The sequence below is a fragment of the Homo sapiens genome, chromosome 9 (genome assembly GCF_000001405.40).
Source record: "Homo sapiens chromosome 9, GRCh38.p14 Primary Assembly".
Classification (NCBI taxonomy): Eukaryota; Metazoa; Chordata; class Mammalia; order Primates; family Hominidae; genus Homo; species Homo sapiens.
In genome coordinates, this window is record NC_000009.12 from 89,598,318 (window position 1) to 89,614,424 (window position 16,107).

At 49.4% G+C, this 16,107-nt stretch overlaps 1 protein-coding gene and 1 long non-coding RNA gene across 6 annotated transcripts, besides 3 other annotated features; one reads left to right on the top strand and one right to left on the bottom strand.

The window, feature by feature from the left end:
• Positions 1-478: 478 nt before the first annotated feature.
• LOC105376139 (uncharacterized) lies at positions 479-6,699 on the bottom strand. 4 transcript variants are annotated; one of them, XR_001746826.2, is made up of 2 exons: positions 6,231-6,699; positions 479-2,417 (listed from the first exon to the last, which is right to left on the bottom strand). It is a non-coding gene; the product is annotated as an uncharacterized LOC105376139 (long non-coding RNA). The 4 variants fall into 4 exon arrangements; XR_001746825.2 differs by having other exon boundaries at positions 5,632-6,699; XR_930105.3 differs by having other exon boundaries at positions 4,423-6,699.
• Positions 5,506-6,404: an enhancer, noted in NCBI's record as "OCT4-NANOG-H3K27ac-H3K4me1 hESC enhancer chr9:92218738-92219636 (GRCh37/hg19 assembly coordinates)". NCBI's record gives its function as "activates a minimal SCP1, AML or CMV promoter by ChIP-STARR-seq in naive H9 embryonic stem cells {active_cell/tissue: H9 hESC(naive)}" and the evidence as "EXISTENCE:reporter gene assay evidence [ECO:0000049][PMID:30033119]".
• Positions 6,015-6,064: a silencer, noted in NCBI's record as "silent region_20016". NCBI's record gives its function as "represses an Ori minimal core promoter by ATAC-STARR-seq in GM12878 lymphoblastoid cells {active_cell/tissue: GM12878}" and the evidence as "EXISTENCE:reporter gene assay evidence [ECO:0000049][PMID:35858748]".
• GADD45G (growth arrest and DNA damage inducible gamma) lies at positions 6,695-8,238 on the top strand. 2 transcript variants are annotated; one of them, NM_006705.4, is made up of 4 exons: positions 6,695-6,857; positions 7,115-7,216; positions 7,350-7,563; positions 7,652-8,238. In NM_006705.4, exons 1-4 carry the CDS (start codon positions 6,805-6,807, stop codon positions 7,760-7,762), a joined length of 480 nt encoding a protein of 159 aa, NP_006696.1. In that variant the 5' UTR covers positions 6,695-6,804; the 3' UTR covers positions 7,763-8,238. The 2 variants fall into 2 exon arrangements, with proteins under 2 accessions (NP_006696.1, XP_011516465.1); XM_011518163.3 differs by lacking the exon at positions 7,115-7,216.
• Positions 13,028-13,576: an enhancer, noted in NCBI's record as "NANOG hESC enhancer chr9:92226260-92226808 (GRCh37/hg19 assembly coordinates)". NCBI's record gives its function as "activates a minimal SCP1, AML or CMV promoter by ChIP-STARR-seq in naive H9 embryonic stem cells {active_cell/tissue: H9 hESC(naive)}" and the evidence as "EXISTENCE:reporter gene assay evidence [ECO:0000049][PMID:30033119]".

The following is a 16,107-nucleotide window of genomic DNA, read 5'->3' on the forward strand; positions in this document are numbered from 1 at the left end:
ATGACATTGGGACAGGCACTGTTGGATTCAGGGTTCCTGAGGAGAACCAAAAATGGTTTTGAAACCTCATTTTCACCTGGATGCTCTCCTTGTCCTTGGTGGTCAAATGGTTTGTTCTAAAGGCTCGAGAAATGGTTTCACAGTGAAATTCATCTGTTCCCTCTTGCTTCAGAGAGGAGCTCAGAACACCCAGCTTTGCCACCTCCTGGCTGTGTGACCTTGAGCAAGTTGTTCAACCTCTCTGTGCCCAAGATTCCTCATGCCTAAAATGGTGATAATAGCACCTACATAACGAGTTTGTTATGAGAATTAAACAATGTTTTCAAAGTGCTTGGAACAGTGCTTGGTGCACAGCAAGTCCTGGAAAAGTCTAGTAAATAAAATAACAACAATACTACTAATAGTGTACTCAAGGAGTGCCACACCCTTCTCAAACAGACAAAATTCAAACACTGAAAAATTAAATAATACCCTACAGTCTCAAGCACAGGTTGAGTATATTACATGTTTTGAAATTTTAGAATTCCCTGCTGTGTTATGTAGGCAATGGAAACAATTTTCATAATCTATTACTGTAATTCATTTCTGGAAAACAGACATTTTCAACAAGAAGGGAGTGGAAGATAATTTCTTCCATTGCTGCTTGCCTCAGTGTGCGCAGAGGATCCCCAAGGGTCCTGTGAACCGCATTTGTAAGGAAAGGTGCCGTCCAGGGTGTTTGGTTCTGACTTGCCGGCTGGCCTTCTTTCCTGCCTCCAGCATGTTGCCTGGGATTCCATCCCAGTCATGCCAGAGTTAACCTCCGAGTACAGTTATGACGATTTTCACTCAGTCACAGGCGCAGACCGGCGTCAGATGGCAAGAGGAGGAGTGCAGGAATCAAAGGTCACAGTCTCAGGAGCAAAGCCCCACAGACGTCTGGCTTCTGGATCTGTGACCATATGGTCAAAGATTGCTCTGCACAATAACCTCCAGAGCAGTCAGGTTGAGGATGTCTGGTACTGAAGTTACTCCATTTGAGAAGTTTTATATATTTTTGTTAAATAAAATTGAATTGTAAATGTTTAATTGCAGTAAAGCATAGTGAAGAAAATTAAAAATCACTTATAATCTCATCACTCCAAGATACAATCACCATTCCTACTTTGTGACTTTATACAGTGATAGTCGTGTACGCTGAAAGTTTTTGCAAAATTAGAATTGCACAATTTCGTATTTTGCTTTTTTTCACATTATATCATGCCGGGAACTACTCTTCAGAACTCCTTTTTATGGTTGCATAATGTTTCATTTCTGGTTACACCATGATTTAACACTAGCCCCCTATAATGTTTTCTAATTTTTCACTATTTTAAGAAACATTGCAATAAATATTTGATTATCATATACATTTTTGAATGGCGTTTTTGGAGAGCTTAATTAACGGGTATTTAATGGGCTAACCAGCATGAATTCTTTCTACTTTACACTTTAAATCATCTGCTAACTCTTCACTCAAGGTCAAAGTTAGCAAGCAGCTAAGTCCAGCTTTGAGTCCTGCTCCACAAAGTTTAAACTCCAATGTCATAGTGCCTTTTGGAGGTTGTTAGTACATTTTAGCTTTTGGAACATAAAAGAAGGAAGGCTTTACTGTGGAAGTTCTGTGGTTCTATTATTCTATTATATGCTACATGTAAACATTTCCAGAAATCTGTTAGAAAAGAAAGTTTACTGCCAACCCAAATGCCTGCAGGGACCAGGCAAATGCCAGACAGGGCTTACACGTGCCAGTGGACCTAATGTGACATTTGGAACATACTTACAGTGACAGAGAGGATGTGTGCCACCAACTCTCCCCTACACAAATGAACAAGTCAGATCTGAATTTGTAAGTCTTTCGGGACACTGTCCACCAAACTAAACCCATCTGTGGGCCAAATGGCAACCAGGAGCAATCTTATAAGACCCCAATAAGGTTCATGAGGGGTAAAGGGCACAATTTTTATTTCCTAGGTTGGGAAACTAAGGTTCAGAAGACTTGGGCATGTAGTCAAGCTGGGAAGACTGCACATCTGTGGCTTCTCAGGGGTTTTCAGCTACAGTGCAGGCTGGTGTCTGTCACTACCTAGGACTGTGACAGGTGCCATGAATCATTTCTTACTGTCGATAGAGAAGGGAACAAATGCATAAATAATGTATCCTTCCCCCTCAATTACTTTGAAGGATTTCCCTGGGCTAATGTTAACCTCTTTCATGCTACATAAGTGCTCACCCAAGAATAACTGCTCCTTCCAGAAAGTCTTTGCATAAGGATGACTGACCAGAAATGTCCAGCTTTTGCTAGATGTGTGTGTGGGAGGTGTCCTCCTTTCTCAGCTTCCTGCTTCTTGTCTCAGTTGTCCTCTGAAGCCTCCCCATGTGCAGATTCATGCTTCACCCTGGGTAAGGAGGAGGGCATGGTGGTGGTGAGAGCCAATGCAATGGTGTCCTTCACATGCTGGAAGGCATCTGAGATGCACCTGTTGGGTTTTAAGTAATAGCTTTTATGTGTCCTGCATGAAAACCTGGCTTCCTTTTGAGTTAATGTACTATTGTCACTGAGTTGCTGCTGCCCCCTATCATTCAAGAGCTTTTTTGGACCGAAGAAAACCCAACAGAGGACCCCCGAGGAGACTTGTTCTGGCCCGAGAAGGGGCTGGACGAGGGAGAATAGTGAGGGCAACATGAAACCTTTTGGAAACGGGCCAGCCCAGAGTGCTCCAAGAGCCCTGTGCTGACATAGGACACTGTCCTGCACAAGCTGAGACACAAATGATGCTCAACCTTTTTGGCTTCATCTTTAGGAACTTGGCCCCTTTATTTTGTGCTTCAAACTTCAGTTTCTTGATTGTAAGCGCAAATGTCTGCAGGTGACAGGAGGGTGATGTAAATGAACAAAGCAGCCAGGTGTCCTCAGCTGGGGTCTGGTGGGGATTGAGGTGAATGGGAGAGCAGTGCCCAATGCGGGATCCCAGTGCCCCCGACCCCTGCTGAAGGTTACCAAGGTGGGGAGGGGACTCTAGGCACATCATGGCCAAATCTACCCATTTTCCAAGAGAAGCTAGAAATCCAGATGTTTATATGAATGCAGCTAACTTTGAAAAGTGGCAGTGAATTTGACTTTGCCTAAGACGCCTCATAGGCCAAAGAAATCCCACGTGCAGTCTGCAAGGGGCTGGTGCGTAGCCAGCTTTGCATCCCACAGCCTCTGGCTGACTGGTCGTGGATTCTGGCACATTGTTTGGGTAGGATAAGGGCATACACCTGCTATTTAATAACAATGTTGTGCACTCTCCACACATAAGTAACTTGTGAAAATACAACAAAGAATATCTCATAAAGCTTACTGCTTACTTAAAGCTCATTTCCTTCTGTACCCAAATGAAAGACATCTGCCCATCAATGACCTAGTCAAGCCATGGAAGAATGAGAAGCACATTTTAGAGAATGTGTTAATAAAAACAGTTCAACTATAAACATTTCCAAAAAGGTTTTAGAATAGAGCATCTCTGAGGATATCCCTTTAAGTAAGTCACCATCACCTGCATTATTGAGATTTAGGGGAAGGTTTAGGGGTGCAGTCACAGGAAGCTCAGGACAACATCTCAGCCACCTGTGACCTGAAGCACAGAGCAGGCCAAGTCCCTTGCTGCATGCAATTTGGGAGAGCTGTGGCCACAAAGCCGTGTAGTGGGATATTCTGGATCCTCAAACTTCTAGTGGGCATTGCCCACTCCTCAACACAGGGGCATCCCAGGCCCAGAAGCTTCAGCATGTGTCTGAACTGAAGGGTGGTGGTGGGTCTGCTGGAAGGCCACCTTTGCCTGCAGACAAAATTGTTCTTCCCAATTGAGATGGGGGCTTTGGGGCCATTGGGACTGACATAACAAAGCAAAGTGAGGCTGTATCATATGTCAAAAAGGCAGTTTCCTGAAATTGAATACTTTAAAAATGTGAGCAGAGTAGAACAGCCCCAGGGGTCGTCAATCATCTCTTCTGGTCCAGGCTAGCTCAGGAGGGACTGGAAATGCACCCACCCCCAACTCGAAGCCGGGAGTGTTCATTAGTGGCCTTCCTCTCGGAGGAGGGGCTGAGGCTTCAGGCCTAGCCTTTGTTTTCTCTGGCCTGGCATGTAGGCAGATTTTTAGCGTCATAAATTGGAGAGGTGGGTGCTAGCATGTTAAGTAAATCTTATTTCCAGCATGTCCTGGGGACCTGGGACTAATACATTTTAAGAAATGTTTAATAGTAGGCCGGGTGCGGTTGCTCATGCCTGTAATCCCAGCACTTTGGGAGGCCGAGGTGGGTGGATCACGAGGTCAGGAGTTTGAGACCAGCCTGGCCAACATGGTGAAACTCTGTTTCTACTAAAAATACAAAAATTAGCCCGGCGTGGTGGCGCACCTGTAGTCCCAGCTACTCGGGAGGCTGAAGCAGAAGGATCGCTTGAACCCGGGAGGCGGAGGTTGCAGTGAGCCGAGATTGTGCCACCGCACTCCAGCCTGGGCAACCGAGCGAGACTCCGTCTCAAAAAAGAAAAGAAAAGAAAAGAAAAGTTTAATAGTTTTAAAAGAGTAATACCTATATTCCAATCACTTAAAATTAACATATTTTATCCAATCAAGGCATATCATCATTTTATACATCAAGAAAGAAAAGAAACTAGCGAACAAACGGGGCATAATGCCGCCTGGCTCCGCTTCCCCCTCCCCTCTCCCCCCGTCCTTAGGAGACACCTCTGGAGTTCAGAAATGCTAGGAGAGCAAGCTCTTCATTCTTAGAATCCAGGAAGGGCCGGGCTTTTGCAGCTCTCCTCTGCCAGGAAGCCGCTGGGGGGCGCAAGACGCCAGCTTCTCACCTTGGCAGAAGTGCCTGCCTGCAAGCGCAGAATGGAAACTTCCCCATAACAAATTCAGAAGTACCTTGTACATTCACCACCCACCTGAAGAAAGCCTGAATGAAAGGAACAAAGCCACGGCGTTGTTTACTTTCCCATTATCGCCCCAGTCTTGCGGCAGGGCCCGGGTTTCCATCCAATCCACCCGGCCCGCCACTGTCCTGGCCAGTCTCCAAGGCTTCACCCAAAAAAAGGAAGCAATGAGGTGTCCCCCAGCGCGCCTTTTCACGTAGCACAGAAGGTGCTCAGTGGGTGAATCCTCTGAAAGTGCCAGCGTGTATGGTCAAACGGCAGCAACCTCTAGCCTATTAAACTCTCCCAAGATCTCTTCCAGACTTATTCCATTGCCGGAAAAAAGGCTTTTTACATATGCGCATTTAAGTAATTAAGATATTTCAACATGGTATAAGACGTAGGGGCTCTTACTCCATCAGTACTGGATGGGAATTTCCTTTTGCCCTCTACTCCCCAGGGTAACTGCAGTCCCACCTGAATGCGTTTTGCAGCCCTTACTCGGGTTCTATTTATGCGCAGCTTGGACAGGGCTCACTGGGCCCGGCCGGGCAGCTCCGTGGCCGTCCCTCTCCACCGCCCTTCCCCCGCGCCAGGCCAATGCAAGGGTGTGTGTGTTGGGGGGAGGGGAGGACAAAAGGGGTTCAGGATCTTTTTAACCTGCCTGCAGATGGCGCCCCGGGAAAGATTCCGAGCTGCATTACCTAAGCTCCAGGGGCTGCAGCCGCGGGGTCCCGGCCACAGGGCGTCCAGCCGCGAAGACTGCACAGCAGCTCTCCGTCCTTCCCAACTCGCGCGGCTGTTCGGCACCCGTGCGAGGAACGGATGGAAGGGAATTACTTGTAGCAGGGCCAGTACTGGGGGCGTGCACTCAGGGACCACGGAGTGGCACTCAGCCTCGACCCCACGCGCCAGGCAGCCCGGCGACCCCCACGCGCGGCGGGGTCCTGCCCACCCCACCCGGCGGCAGGTGGACAGTGTTGCTATGAAGAGAAAGCCTCGATTGTCCCTACAGCAAACCGCCACACGCCAGACCTCTGCTATTGTGCGCCCTCCATAGAAATGCAAACGAGCGGCGTGCGCCGGCCGCAATCTGCTCGTCCCCGCCCGCCCCCGTCTCCCGCGCCCCGCCGCGCTCGGCCAAGGGCGGGGAGGTGGGGTGGGATCTTCCAGAGACGGCTCAATGTACACATTGAGTATGCCTGGCAGGCATCACCAGCGCGCTCGGGACGCTAGTGGTCAGCTGCAGGGGGCTGTGCCCACTGCCTTTTGCAAGCCTCTAACTGGCGCTACCTGTTTTTACCTTAATTTCTGGCTCCAATGCAACAGTCTCATAGACTTCAAATTAAAGAAAAGAAACAAATAGAAAGGTAGCAATACAAAATGCAAAAAAAAATCCCTTTGCTTCTATAAAGGTGCTTTTCGCAAATTGCAGCATCATATAAGCAAACAAGGTTTTTGTGGGTTGGGTTTTTTCTTTTTTTTTTTTTTTTACTTTTTCCTTTTAAGGACTTCAAAAAAAAAAAAAAGCCAGGCGAGATGAAATCTGCAGGCTCCAGTCTGCCTGGTAACACCCCAACAAAAGCGGCAGATTTGAGGCATTGTCATCCCCCGCACCCCTCCCCACGTGGCCTTCTGGCACGAGCCGCTGGCTCGCCGCCTCATTTACATCAGAAAGCGGGTGCCGGCCAATAGGCGCGCAGCCTCGCGCCAGCTGGCGGCGCCGCACCCACCAGCCTATATAAGGGCGCGCAGCGTAGTAGGGGCGCACTCGCTGGTGGTGGGCGCGCCGTGCTGAGCTCTGGCTGTCAGTGTGTTCGCCCGCGTCCCCTCCGCGCTCTCCGCTTGTGGATAACTAGCTGCTGGTTGATCGCACTATGACTCTGGAAGAAGTCCGCGGCCAGGACACAGTTCCGGAAAGCACAGCCAGGTGGGTTTCAGGGCGCTGAGAAAGCCGCTGGTCGGTCGGCGACCGTCAGGGTTTTCCAGGGTGGGAATCCGCGGGGTAGGAGGGGAGCGCGGGGGTCCGGGCGCCAGATCCCGGTTGGAGAGCCGGGGTGCAGGCGCTGAGCCGGGATTGGAGTGTGGTTGGAGTTGGGGAGCCAAGGGTGTGTGCCGGTGGCCGGGGCTGGGGTCTCCGCCGCGCCCTCCGGCCGGCTCCCGCTCACTGCGCTGGCTCCTCCGCAGGATGCAGGGTGCCGGGAAAGCGCTGCATGAGTTGCTGCTGTCGGCGCAGCGTCAGGGCTGCCTCACTGCCGGCGTCTACGAGTCAGCCAAAGTCTTGAACGTGTAAGTGTAGACGCGGCCCAGGCTGGGAGACAGGGGCGGGGGTGAATGGCGAGGAGACTGGCGGATGGGAGGGGTGGCGGCGGGAGAACTCGGCTAGCCGGTTCTGACCTAGGTCCCCGCCTTGCCCTCGCAGGGACCCCGACAATGTGACCTTCTGTGTGCTGGCTGCGGGTGAGGAGGACGAGGGCGACATCGCGCTGCAGATCCATTTTACGCTGATCCAGGCTTTCTGCTGCGAGAACGACATCGACATAGTGCGCGTGGGCGATGTGCAGCGGCTGGCGGCTATCGTGGGCGCCGGCGAGGAGGCGGGTGCGCCGGGCGACCTGCACTGCATCCTCATTTCGGTGAGTACAGTCCCGTCCTGTCCCCGCCCCAGTGTCGTTCCCGCCTCGGCCCGCGGCCAGCCAGGCTGACCCTGCTCTCTCTCCGCAGAACCCCAACGAGGACGCCTGGAAGGATCCCGCCTTGGAGAAGCTCAGCCTGTTTTGCGAGGAGAGCCGCAGCGTTAACGACTGGGTGCCCAGCATCACCCTCCCCGAGTGACAGCCCGGCGGGGACCTTGGTCTGATCGACGTGGTGACGCCCCGGGGCGCCTAGAGCGCGGCTGGCTCTGTGGAGGGGCCCTCCGAGGGTGCCCGAGTGCGGCGTGGAGACTGGCAGGCGGGGGGGGCGCCTGGAGAGCGAGGAGGCGCGGCCTCCCGAGGAGGGGCCCGGTGGCGGCAGGGCCAGGCTGGTCCGAGCTGAGGACTCTGCAAGTGTCTGGAGCGGCTGCTCGCCCAGGAAGGCCTAGGCTAGGACGTTGGCCTCAGGGCCAGGAAGGACAGACTGGCCGGGCAGGCGTGACTCAGCAGCCTGCGCTCGGCAGGAAGGAGCGGCGCCCTGGACTTGGTACAGTTGCAGGAGCGTGAAGGACTTAGCCGACTGCGCTGCTTTTTCAAAACGGATCCGGGCAATGCTTCGTTTTCTAAAGGATGCTGCTGTTGAAGCTTTGAATTTTACAATAAACTTTTTGAAACAAACTTATGCTCTTTATTGAGGGTAGGGGATCTTTGTGTCGGGGGAGGTGGCGTGCAGGGTTTCAGAGGATTGCTGGAACTCCGTGGAACTGATGGCACCTGTTCCGTCTTCCTGTCGGGCAAGAATGACAGGCTCCTCCCCTCTGGCAGAGGGAGGGCATGCTGCCCAGTGCTAGGGTAGAACTTGAGCCTGGCTCCTACTTTTCTCCTTTTAGGAAGATTTTAAACTTGCAAAACAGGAGCATACTTGAGATAAGACAGTGCAGCAGCTGAAGTCTTGCCTTCCAAGGCGATAACAGTGACCTGTGCCTCCCCTCCCCCTCCTCGGCCCTCCTCCCCCTCCCTCCTACAGCTGCTTATCTGAACAGCTTGCAGGAGGCCTCAGGCTTTCCTGCACAATGAGCATTGCCTTCTGCAGGCCCTGCCCTTTGTGGTCCCTGAGGATGGTGGCAGACTGCTCCTGCTCTTGGGGACTTTTTCCTCTTAAATGCTCTGACACAAAGCAATGCTACAAAGGTACTAATACCAAATATGACATTGATGACTGCATTTAAGTATGAGTCATTACTTTGTCATGGCTGTGATAGAACTTGGAAGATCTGAGAAAAAATTGGAAGGCAGCATCTATATAAATAGGCATGAGCAATTCTGAGGGGGCCTGGCATCTGCTATCTACTATTTTCAGTGTTCTCTGCCCACATCAGAGTTACGAGGATTGCTGCTATTCACAATTCCGTTTAAAGACTCATAGGAAAAAAAAATTAAATATTTTAAGCCAAGACTTTCTTTAAAAAGGAACTAGGGGGAAATGTCCTGATCGAATCAATCTTTTTTATGAGACCAATATGCCTTGAGTTCGTTCTGTGTCTAACTAGCTGCTTTCAGCAGGGGAAATACATGTGGGACCCTTGTGCTGTCAGCTAGACTGCCAAGCAGGCTGAGCCTTCTGGGCAAAGGAGGCATGATGTGCTGTCTTCAGTGCTTGGGGTGGCTGATTTACCTCATTGAGTGCCACGTCCTAAAATTCCGTCCAAATTACGGGAGGATTCTTGAGGCAACAGGAAAACTGTACTGAATTACTCTTCTTGTAATGAAAGCGTCCTTGTTTTCCATTTATCAGCTCCTAAAAACATCTACTCCTCAATGGGACAGAAGCCTAGATAAAAAATTCAGTTGTATTTGTGCCCAATTTTCATTACTATTTTACCTATTTGCTGCTTGAAATCTTAAGGTTTTCTTATTGAGGTAGTCTTGGGGTGGGCCTGTCTACCAGTCTGCGTTCCAGCAAAATGACCAGAACATGCTATTGTAAACACAAAGTGGACTTGATTACTTTAAAATGAACCCTTAAATGAGTAAATTCAGCAGAACATTGCACAGAGCAGGTAGGCAGACCCTCCTGTTGGCCAAGCGACACTTGTAGAACATGAGGTTGTAAGCCCTTGGTTTTTTGATTAGAGCTTGCTATGAGGCCACCTGTTGGAACCCCAAAGGGCTAGGAGAATTTTCAGGTGAATAAATGCATGATGGGACACAGTGCCATGCCCAAAAGTTGTGCTAAACTTTTTCTTTTTTTTTTTTTTTGATGAACAGGTGTTTAATGCTATTAACATGAACTAACTCAGAGGGCAGATAATAAAATGTCCAGTGTTTATAAACACATAATTGCATTTAGTACTTCCAACAACCCTATATGATAATGCATATATAAGCCCTCAGTGCGTGGTAATTATCACTACATATGTGTTGGGGGTGACCCATAAAGACGAGCACAATGCCTGGCATCTAGAAAGCACTGAATGAATGTTAATGACAATAATACTTAAAAGCTAACGAAGACATTTGTCCCAGACCACAGAACTCCAAGTGAACTAGTGGGTTTTGGACTAGCCGTCTGGTTTCAGGACCAACACGTTGCTGCCATGAACTTCCGGGTGCTGGAGCACTTGCGGCAGGCTTATTTTGGAAAGAAGGCTATTTTCATTAGATAACTTTCTACCTTTATAAGTTATATGTATTCATTGCAGAAAAATTGTAAAATACATCAACATTAAAGAAATAAGTAAAAGTGCCTGTAACTGACCATCAGCAAGTTTTGATGTATTAATATTTCCTTCTGAACTTCTATTTTTCCTCTTACATATTCTGTAACACACACAAGCACACCCAACAGTTTTTAAGCTGCATTTGGCTTAGTCTGCATTGGATTTAGTTACCGTCTCCTTTTCCTTAACATGCTATTACAGCTCCCATATATCCACATGACCTTGGGACAGGGCTTGTCTCTGCTTTAGCAGGCTCCAGTGCCTGGGTGAAAATACACATTCCAGCCTGGGATCCAGCTGGGGCATCTTCTTTACCTTGCAGCCCTCACTGAACTGGAAACATGACTGCCGTTTGCAGGATTTTAGGTATCACATGTCTAAAACAAACCTTTGCCACCCCCAGAGCAATGAAAGTAAAGCATTCTTATTTTTAATTTTTTTAAGTTTTGCATATGGTCACTGTAAAAATTGGCACTGGCAAAGCACCTGTTGTGAAGATGAAATGGATACAGAATGACAACAGGAGCAGCTTGGAGAGTCAGGCATTCCTTGCCCACACCCAGCATTGCCCACATAGGGAGCTGAGGTCTCCTTGTTCCTCTCCTGGCAAGATGATAGGACAAAATGATCTCTGAGATTTATTTTATTTTTAAGGGCTCTAATTCTCTGTGTTATATATTTTATTAAACCATTAGCCTCAGAAGTACAATGCGTATTGGTTTTGAAGCCACTTCAGAAAAAATAAAAAATGAATTTTTCAGAGGAAAAGCAAGGATGTTGGCAAACAAACCAAGGCGTGTAGGGTCAGCTCAGTAAACAGATACCCAATTTTGCTTTTTTGAGATTCTTGTGTTTTTCAGTTGCTTTTCTAAGATGCCAACCCCTGTACTCCTCATTTGAGTATGCCCTCCAAAATGTCAAAAGTGTATTGTCTTTCCACGGTCACAAAGGAGAGACTTTATGACTTAACTGGGGGCAATGAGACATGATCCTGCGTGGTGCACCTGAGCTGCTGCAAGCGGCCGCCAGAGGAGTGGCTAAGTTCGTGTGCAGGGCCAGCTGGAAGCCTCGGGGTGCCTGGAATGACTACACGGCTTTGAATTCTGTCCTAGCGCAAACTTATATTTGGTTTTTAGGTCTAGCTCAAACTTCCCTTTATCAACTAGAATAAAATTGCCAAATAATTTCACTCCCTTCATCAACTAATAGTGTGTGAGTAAAGTTCATCCACACAGGGTGGCAGAGTCTAGATACTGGGAGCTGGTGGCTGCACCAACAAGATGCATGGCTTCTTGCCCACTGATGCAGCAGAGGCCTTTAAAACCTCTGTGAGCTCCTCATGCTGGGTAAGACAGGCACTGCCTTGGGCTGCTGGGCTTCAAGGGTAGGACATAGGCTGTCCACCATGTGGTTCAAGCGTTCATTCATTCATCCCCTCATTAATTCAGCTGGCATTTCCTGAGCACATGTGCTGTGCCAGGCACAGTGCTAGGCATGGCCTCCCCACTGATCCTTGCCTGCCTGGAAGGTCCTGACAGCATTGAGTTGAGCCCATGGCTTCGCATTCCCAAGCCCATCCGTCTCTTATTCATCCTGCCTAGAAAACACGGTGAGGACAGGAATGAGAAAGGTGAGTGTGGGGACACCATTTCCCATACCAATTGCTAATTTTATGAGACTCTCATTGGCCAACTAAAAAATATGTCACAGTTGGCATTCCATTACCTTTTTGCATCAAAAACACCCTCGGCTTCTTTCCTTCTCACCATCTCCCTTTTCTTTCTATTTCTTCGATTTTTCTCCAGTCCAAGACTTCCCAAGCTGTGACTTGTGCTTCCCTCCTGAGCACTGCTAGTGGCTTCCAAAGACTGCTTTCCAATTCTACTTCCCTCCCTGCAACCTTCTCTTCTTCTTCCTTTTTTTGCCTCCACCTCCACCTCCACCTCTGCTCTTCCCTCTCGTCCATTTTCTCCCACATCCTTCCCTTCCTCCTCCTTTCTTTCCCCCTTCCCCCTCCACCTTCACTTCCATTTTGGAGCTCCTGCTGTGAACCAGGCCCTGGGGACTCAGACGAGAAACGAGCAGCCTCTGCTCCCAGGAGCTGGGCCTGGCGCCAGCTCTCTGGCCTGGCCTGGGGCTCTCTCCAGTTCCCTTCCATCCACTCAGTGTCCCAGATCCATCCCCTCAAACTTGCTAGGCCCTGACCCTGTGTGGAGGTCCAGCGGACACCTTGTCTGATTGAGCCCAAAGTCAGTCTCTGCCCAGGGCCCGGCCTGGTGCAAAGAGCCATGCACACCCGCATGCTTATTCCATGCCCTTCCCTGGGGGCCAAGGTCCTGATCTTTGAGGTGGGCTTGTGGATGGATGACTGGGCTATGAGGTGGGCTATGATGACAGTGATGAGGAGGTGAAGTTTCCCGGTGAAGAGAGTATCACACCCTGTGCAAACATGGGTGGGCTCCACATATCCCAGTGTGCCCAGGGTGCAGCGCTCTGTCTCCTAGGTTTCTCCATGCTCTGTCCATGCTCTGCTTCTGCCCCTTCCATCCCTGTCCTCAGGGTCCAGCTCTTTACTGTCACCTACCTGAGTCCCCTACTTTTAGGGATGCCAGTATAGGCTTGGGGGTAGCAGGAAGGCTCCTGGTCAGAGGAGCCCCTGCTATAGTGGAGATCATGTGACTCCTTTGGGTCTGGCCCAATCTGCATCTGTGTCCTGGGCCGTGGCTGGAGGGAGCTCACCTGGGCTTCCTTTTCCATTTTCCTGACTCTCCCTAAATCACTCAGTACATCTGACAGAGTCCAGAAGCTTGTTCATCTTGGGTGGAAGGGAAGAGAGTCTGGGGGCTGGGTAGCTTGCTGGGGAGGGTGGAGATGCAAGGGTGGGTGAGGATGAGGGCCACCTGCCACCATCCCTGAGACCATGATCAGGCAAGTGGTGCAGGCAGAAGGCTTGTGGATGACTGTGCAAGCCTGAAAGCACAGCCTGATAACAATCAATAAGACAATTGTCCCGCAAGACTCCCCTCTGAGCTTCAGAATAGAACAGTGTTTCTGGGAGAACAGAGTGGGCTGAGTCCTCCTTAGCTCTTTGTCGCATGGAGGAAAATGCATTAGAATTGACATCTTAGAAGTGGCATCTTCCTAGGAAATACAACCCGACCAAAATGGGTGGAAGAAGGTGCTGTGGAAAGGAGACAGCCTGCGTGTTTTCTATGCCTCTCGTGGAGTACAGGCTCATCCAGCAGAGCTGCCTTCAGAGCAGAAAGAAGGGATGGGTGACCCTTTGAGACTGAGCTGATGGTGTCAGGCTGCAAATCAGTGAAGGTCACATGAAGTGTTGTTTGCTATTGGGGAGCACGGGATTCCACAAAACCTGCCAGAGATGAGCAATTTTCTTTTTATAGAAGTTCAGTAAATGTCTCAGAAGGACCCCTGCAAAGTCCCCGAGTCCCTTTCCCATCCAGATCCAGCACAAGCAACTCCCTCTGAGTACAGCCCATGGGGAGCTGCTCAGACTTGCCCCTGCTGCTGTCCACCTGCTTCTCACCTGGATGCGCAGTGACTGACAGATGAAACTGTCTTACTTATCTTAGTGATATGTCAGCTGATATCTCATCAGAAGGCAGAATTCTACCACAAACCTCCAACCACTGCCTCCTGGTGTTATTCCCACAGTTGTGGGATTAAGGAATGTTGCAGATGTAATTAAGGTTACTAATCAGATGACCTGAAAACAGAGAGATGTTCTGTATGGGCCAAACCTAATACATGAATATGTTAAAAGCAGAGACTGGCTGGTTGGGGAAGCAGAGCCAGAGACTTTGCAGATTTTGGAAGAATTGGACACACCATTGCTGGCTTTGAAGAGGGAGGGGCTCATAGAGCAAGATTTGAGGGTGGCCTCTAGAAACTGAGAGTGGTGCTTGGCTGACAGCTAGCAAGAGAATGGGGACCTGATTCCTACAGATGCATGGAACTGAATTCTGTCAACGACATGGATGAGCTGGAAGCAAACTCTTCCCCAGAGCCTTAGAGATGACCGCAGTCTGGCTGACAGCTTGGTTCAAGCCTTGTGAGACCCTGAGCAGAAAAGTGAGTTGAGCCTGCCTGACTTCAGATCCATGGAACTGTGAGCCCATAAATAGCGAATGTTTTAAACTGCTGAGTTTGCGCTAATTTGTTACTCAGCAATAGGGAACGAATACATCCCAGGAACATCAGGGTCTCCTCCTTCCCTCCCCCTACCTCTCATGCTTCGATTGGGTCTACCTGGACCTCATCTTACAGCTTTTGTACTCCTGTCCTGCACCACCTCCCCAACTCTCGCCTCTCCCTGTGTCCCACAGGGCTTCTCCCTCTCTCCAGACATATCATGCCCTTTCATACCCCGGGGCCTTGGACGTGCTGGTCCAGCTGCGTGAACTGCATGTTTTCTTGAACGGCGACTCTGCTTGCAGGTGGAATGCATGGAGTGCACGGGCGTCTGCCTAGAGAGGAGATGTGGGGGCTGGGCATGGAGGTAGCCGAGGAGTCAGCCTGCGGGCCCTGGGCCCTACCAGAGCTGGGTTCCACCTTAGCATTTAAGGAGGTGGCCTATACAGAGCAGGTGGCAGTGTCGGGACAGGGGGCTCCTTCCAAGGTCACCATGGGATTGGTGGGCAGGCCTGTGCCTGTGGTCCAGTCTCTGGCTCTGATTGGAGCACGCTCATTCCTACAGAACATTGGCAACCCTCTATCGCTCACCTGCAGCTGGGGATTAAAAGACCCAAGGGCCACTGACTGGGCCACTGAATCACTGATTTTCATCCCCAAATCTTTTCCCTTATATGAAATTTCCCAAGTGCTGTCAAATCACAGATTCTTAGTGTTGGAGGGAAGCTTAGTTATTCTTCATTTCACAGGCAAAGAAATGGGCTCAGAGAGGTGAGTCCATAGTTGCAGTGAGGTCCAGGTCTCCTCATCAGGTCTGGGCTTTGTTGACCCAGGGCCTTTTGGTCCAAAGTTGAAACAAAGGCCTTTTAGCATCCCCTCTGGGCTGCTATCCGATGCCTAGATGATGGGCCAAACACAAGCAGGATAGCTATGGAATTCACGGTTCTCCAGAGAAGGAAGCAGATGGGAAAGTGAGACCTGCCTCGCCTAATTTTCTTGTACTACAGTCTTTTGGTTAAAGCATCTCTCATTTTGTTATTGTTGCTTGTGGCTTCCCATTATGAGGAGTTGACGCGTTTGTCTGTCTGTCTAGCCTCTGGATGTGGGACAGGCAGATCAATGAGATCCAGGAAAAGTTTGTGTCTTGCTGTGTGAAAGCTGAGGCTGACCGAACAAAGTCACTCAGTTATGGGAACACTTGTTAAAAGGATGTCAAAGCTTTTATTTTCCCCCCTCAAAGTGGGTCTCTTGTCCTATAACCACTGACCATCTTGATCTCATACCGAGCCATTGATGTGGTTTTACTTCACCTCCAGGGGAGGTGGGATTTGCTACTGAGTTTCATGATTCATTTTTCAGCTTTCAGAGTTTGCTTTGGTTTGAGGTTTACATGCCTGTCAGTGATGAAACATGGTCATTAGAATTGATTCCGATTTTTGACACTTGCGTTATCCCTACCCTGCAATGGTGGATTGGGGTCACTCATTTACAGCCTATCTTCTGCAAGTGGGAAAATTCAAGAGAATAATTAAAATGTGTTGCGTTTTCACTATGACAAAGTTCAGACAAATAGAATTCTAAGGAACAACAGTGAAACAACAGTAAAAAGCAAAATTGAAAGGAAAGGAACAGCTACACTCTGGAGAAAGTATCCTCTTTTGCAGCAAGATTAAAT

Excerpts from the sequence above, each read along its gene's own strand:
- GADD45G (NM_006705.4), top strand. The coding sequence starts at position 6,805 with ATGACTCTGGAAGAAGTCCGCGGCCAGGACACAGTTCCGGAAAGCACA. Across the intron at positions 7,217-7,349 it reads TCAGCCAAAGTCTTGAACGT|GGACCCCGACAATGTGACCT; the intron begins GTAAGTGTAGAC and ends TTGCCCTCGCAG. Across the intron at positions 7,564-7,651 it reads TGCACTGCATCCTCATTTCG|AACCCCAACGAGGACGCCTG; the intron begins GTGAGTACAGTC and ends CTCTCTCCGCAG.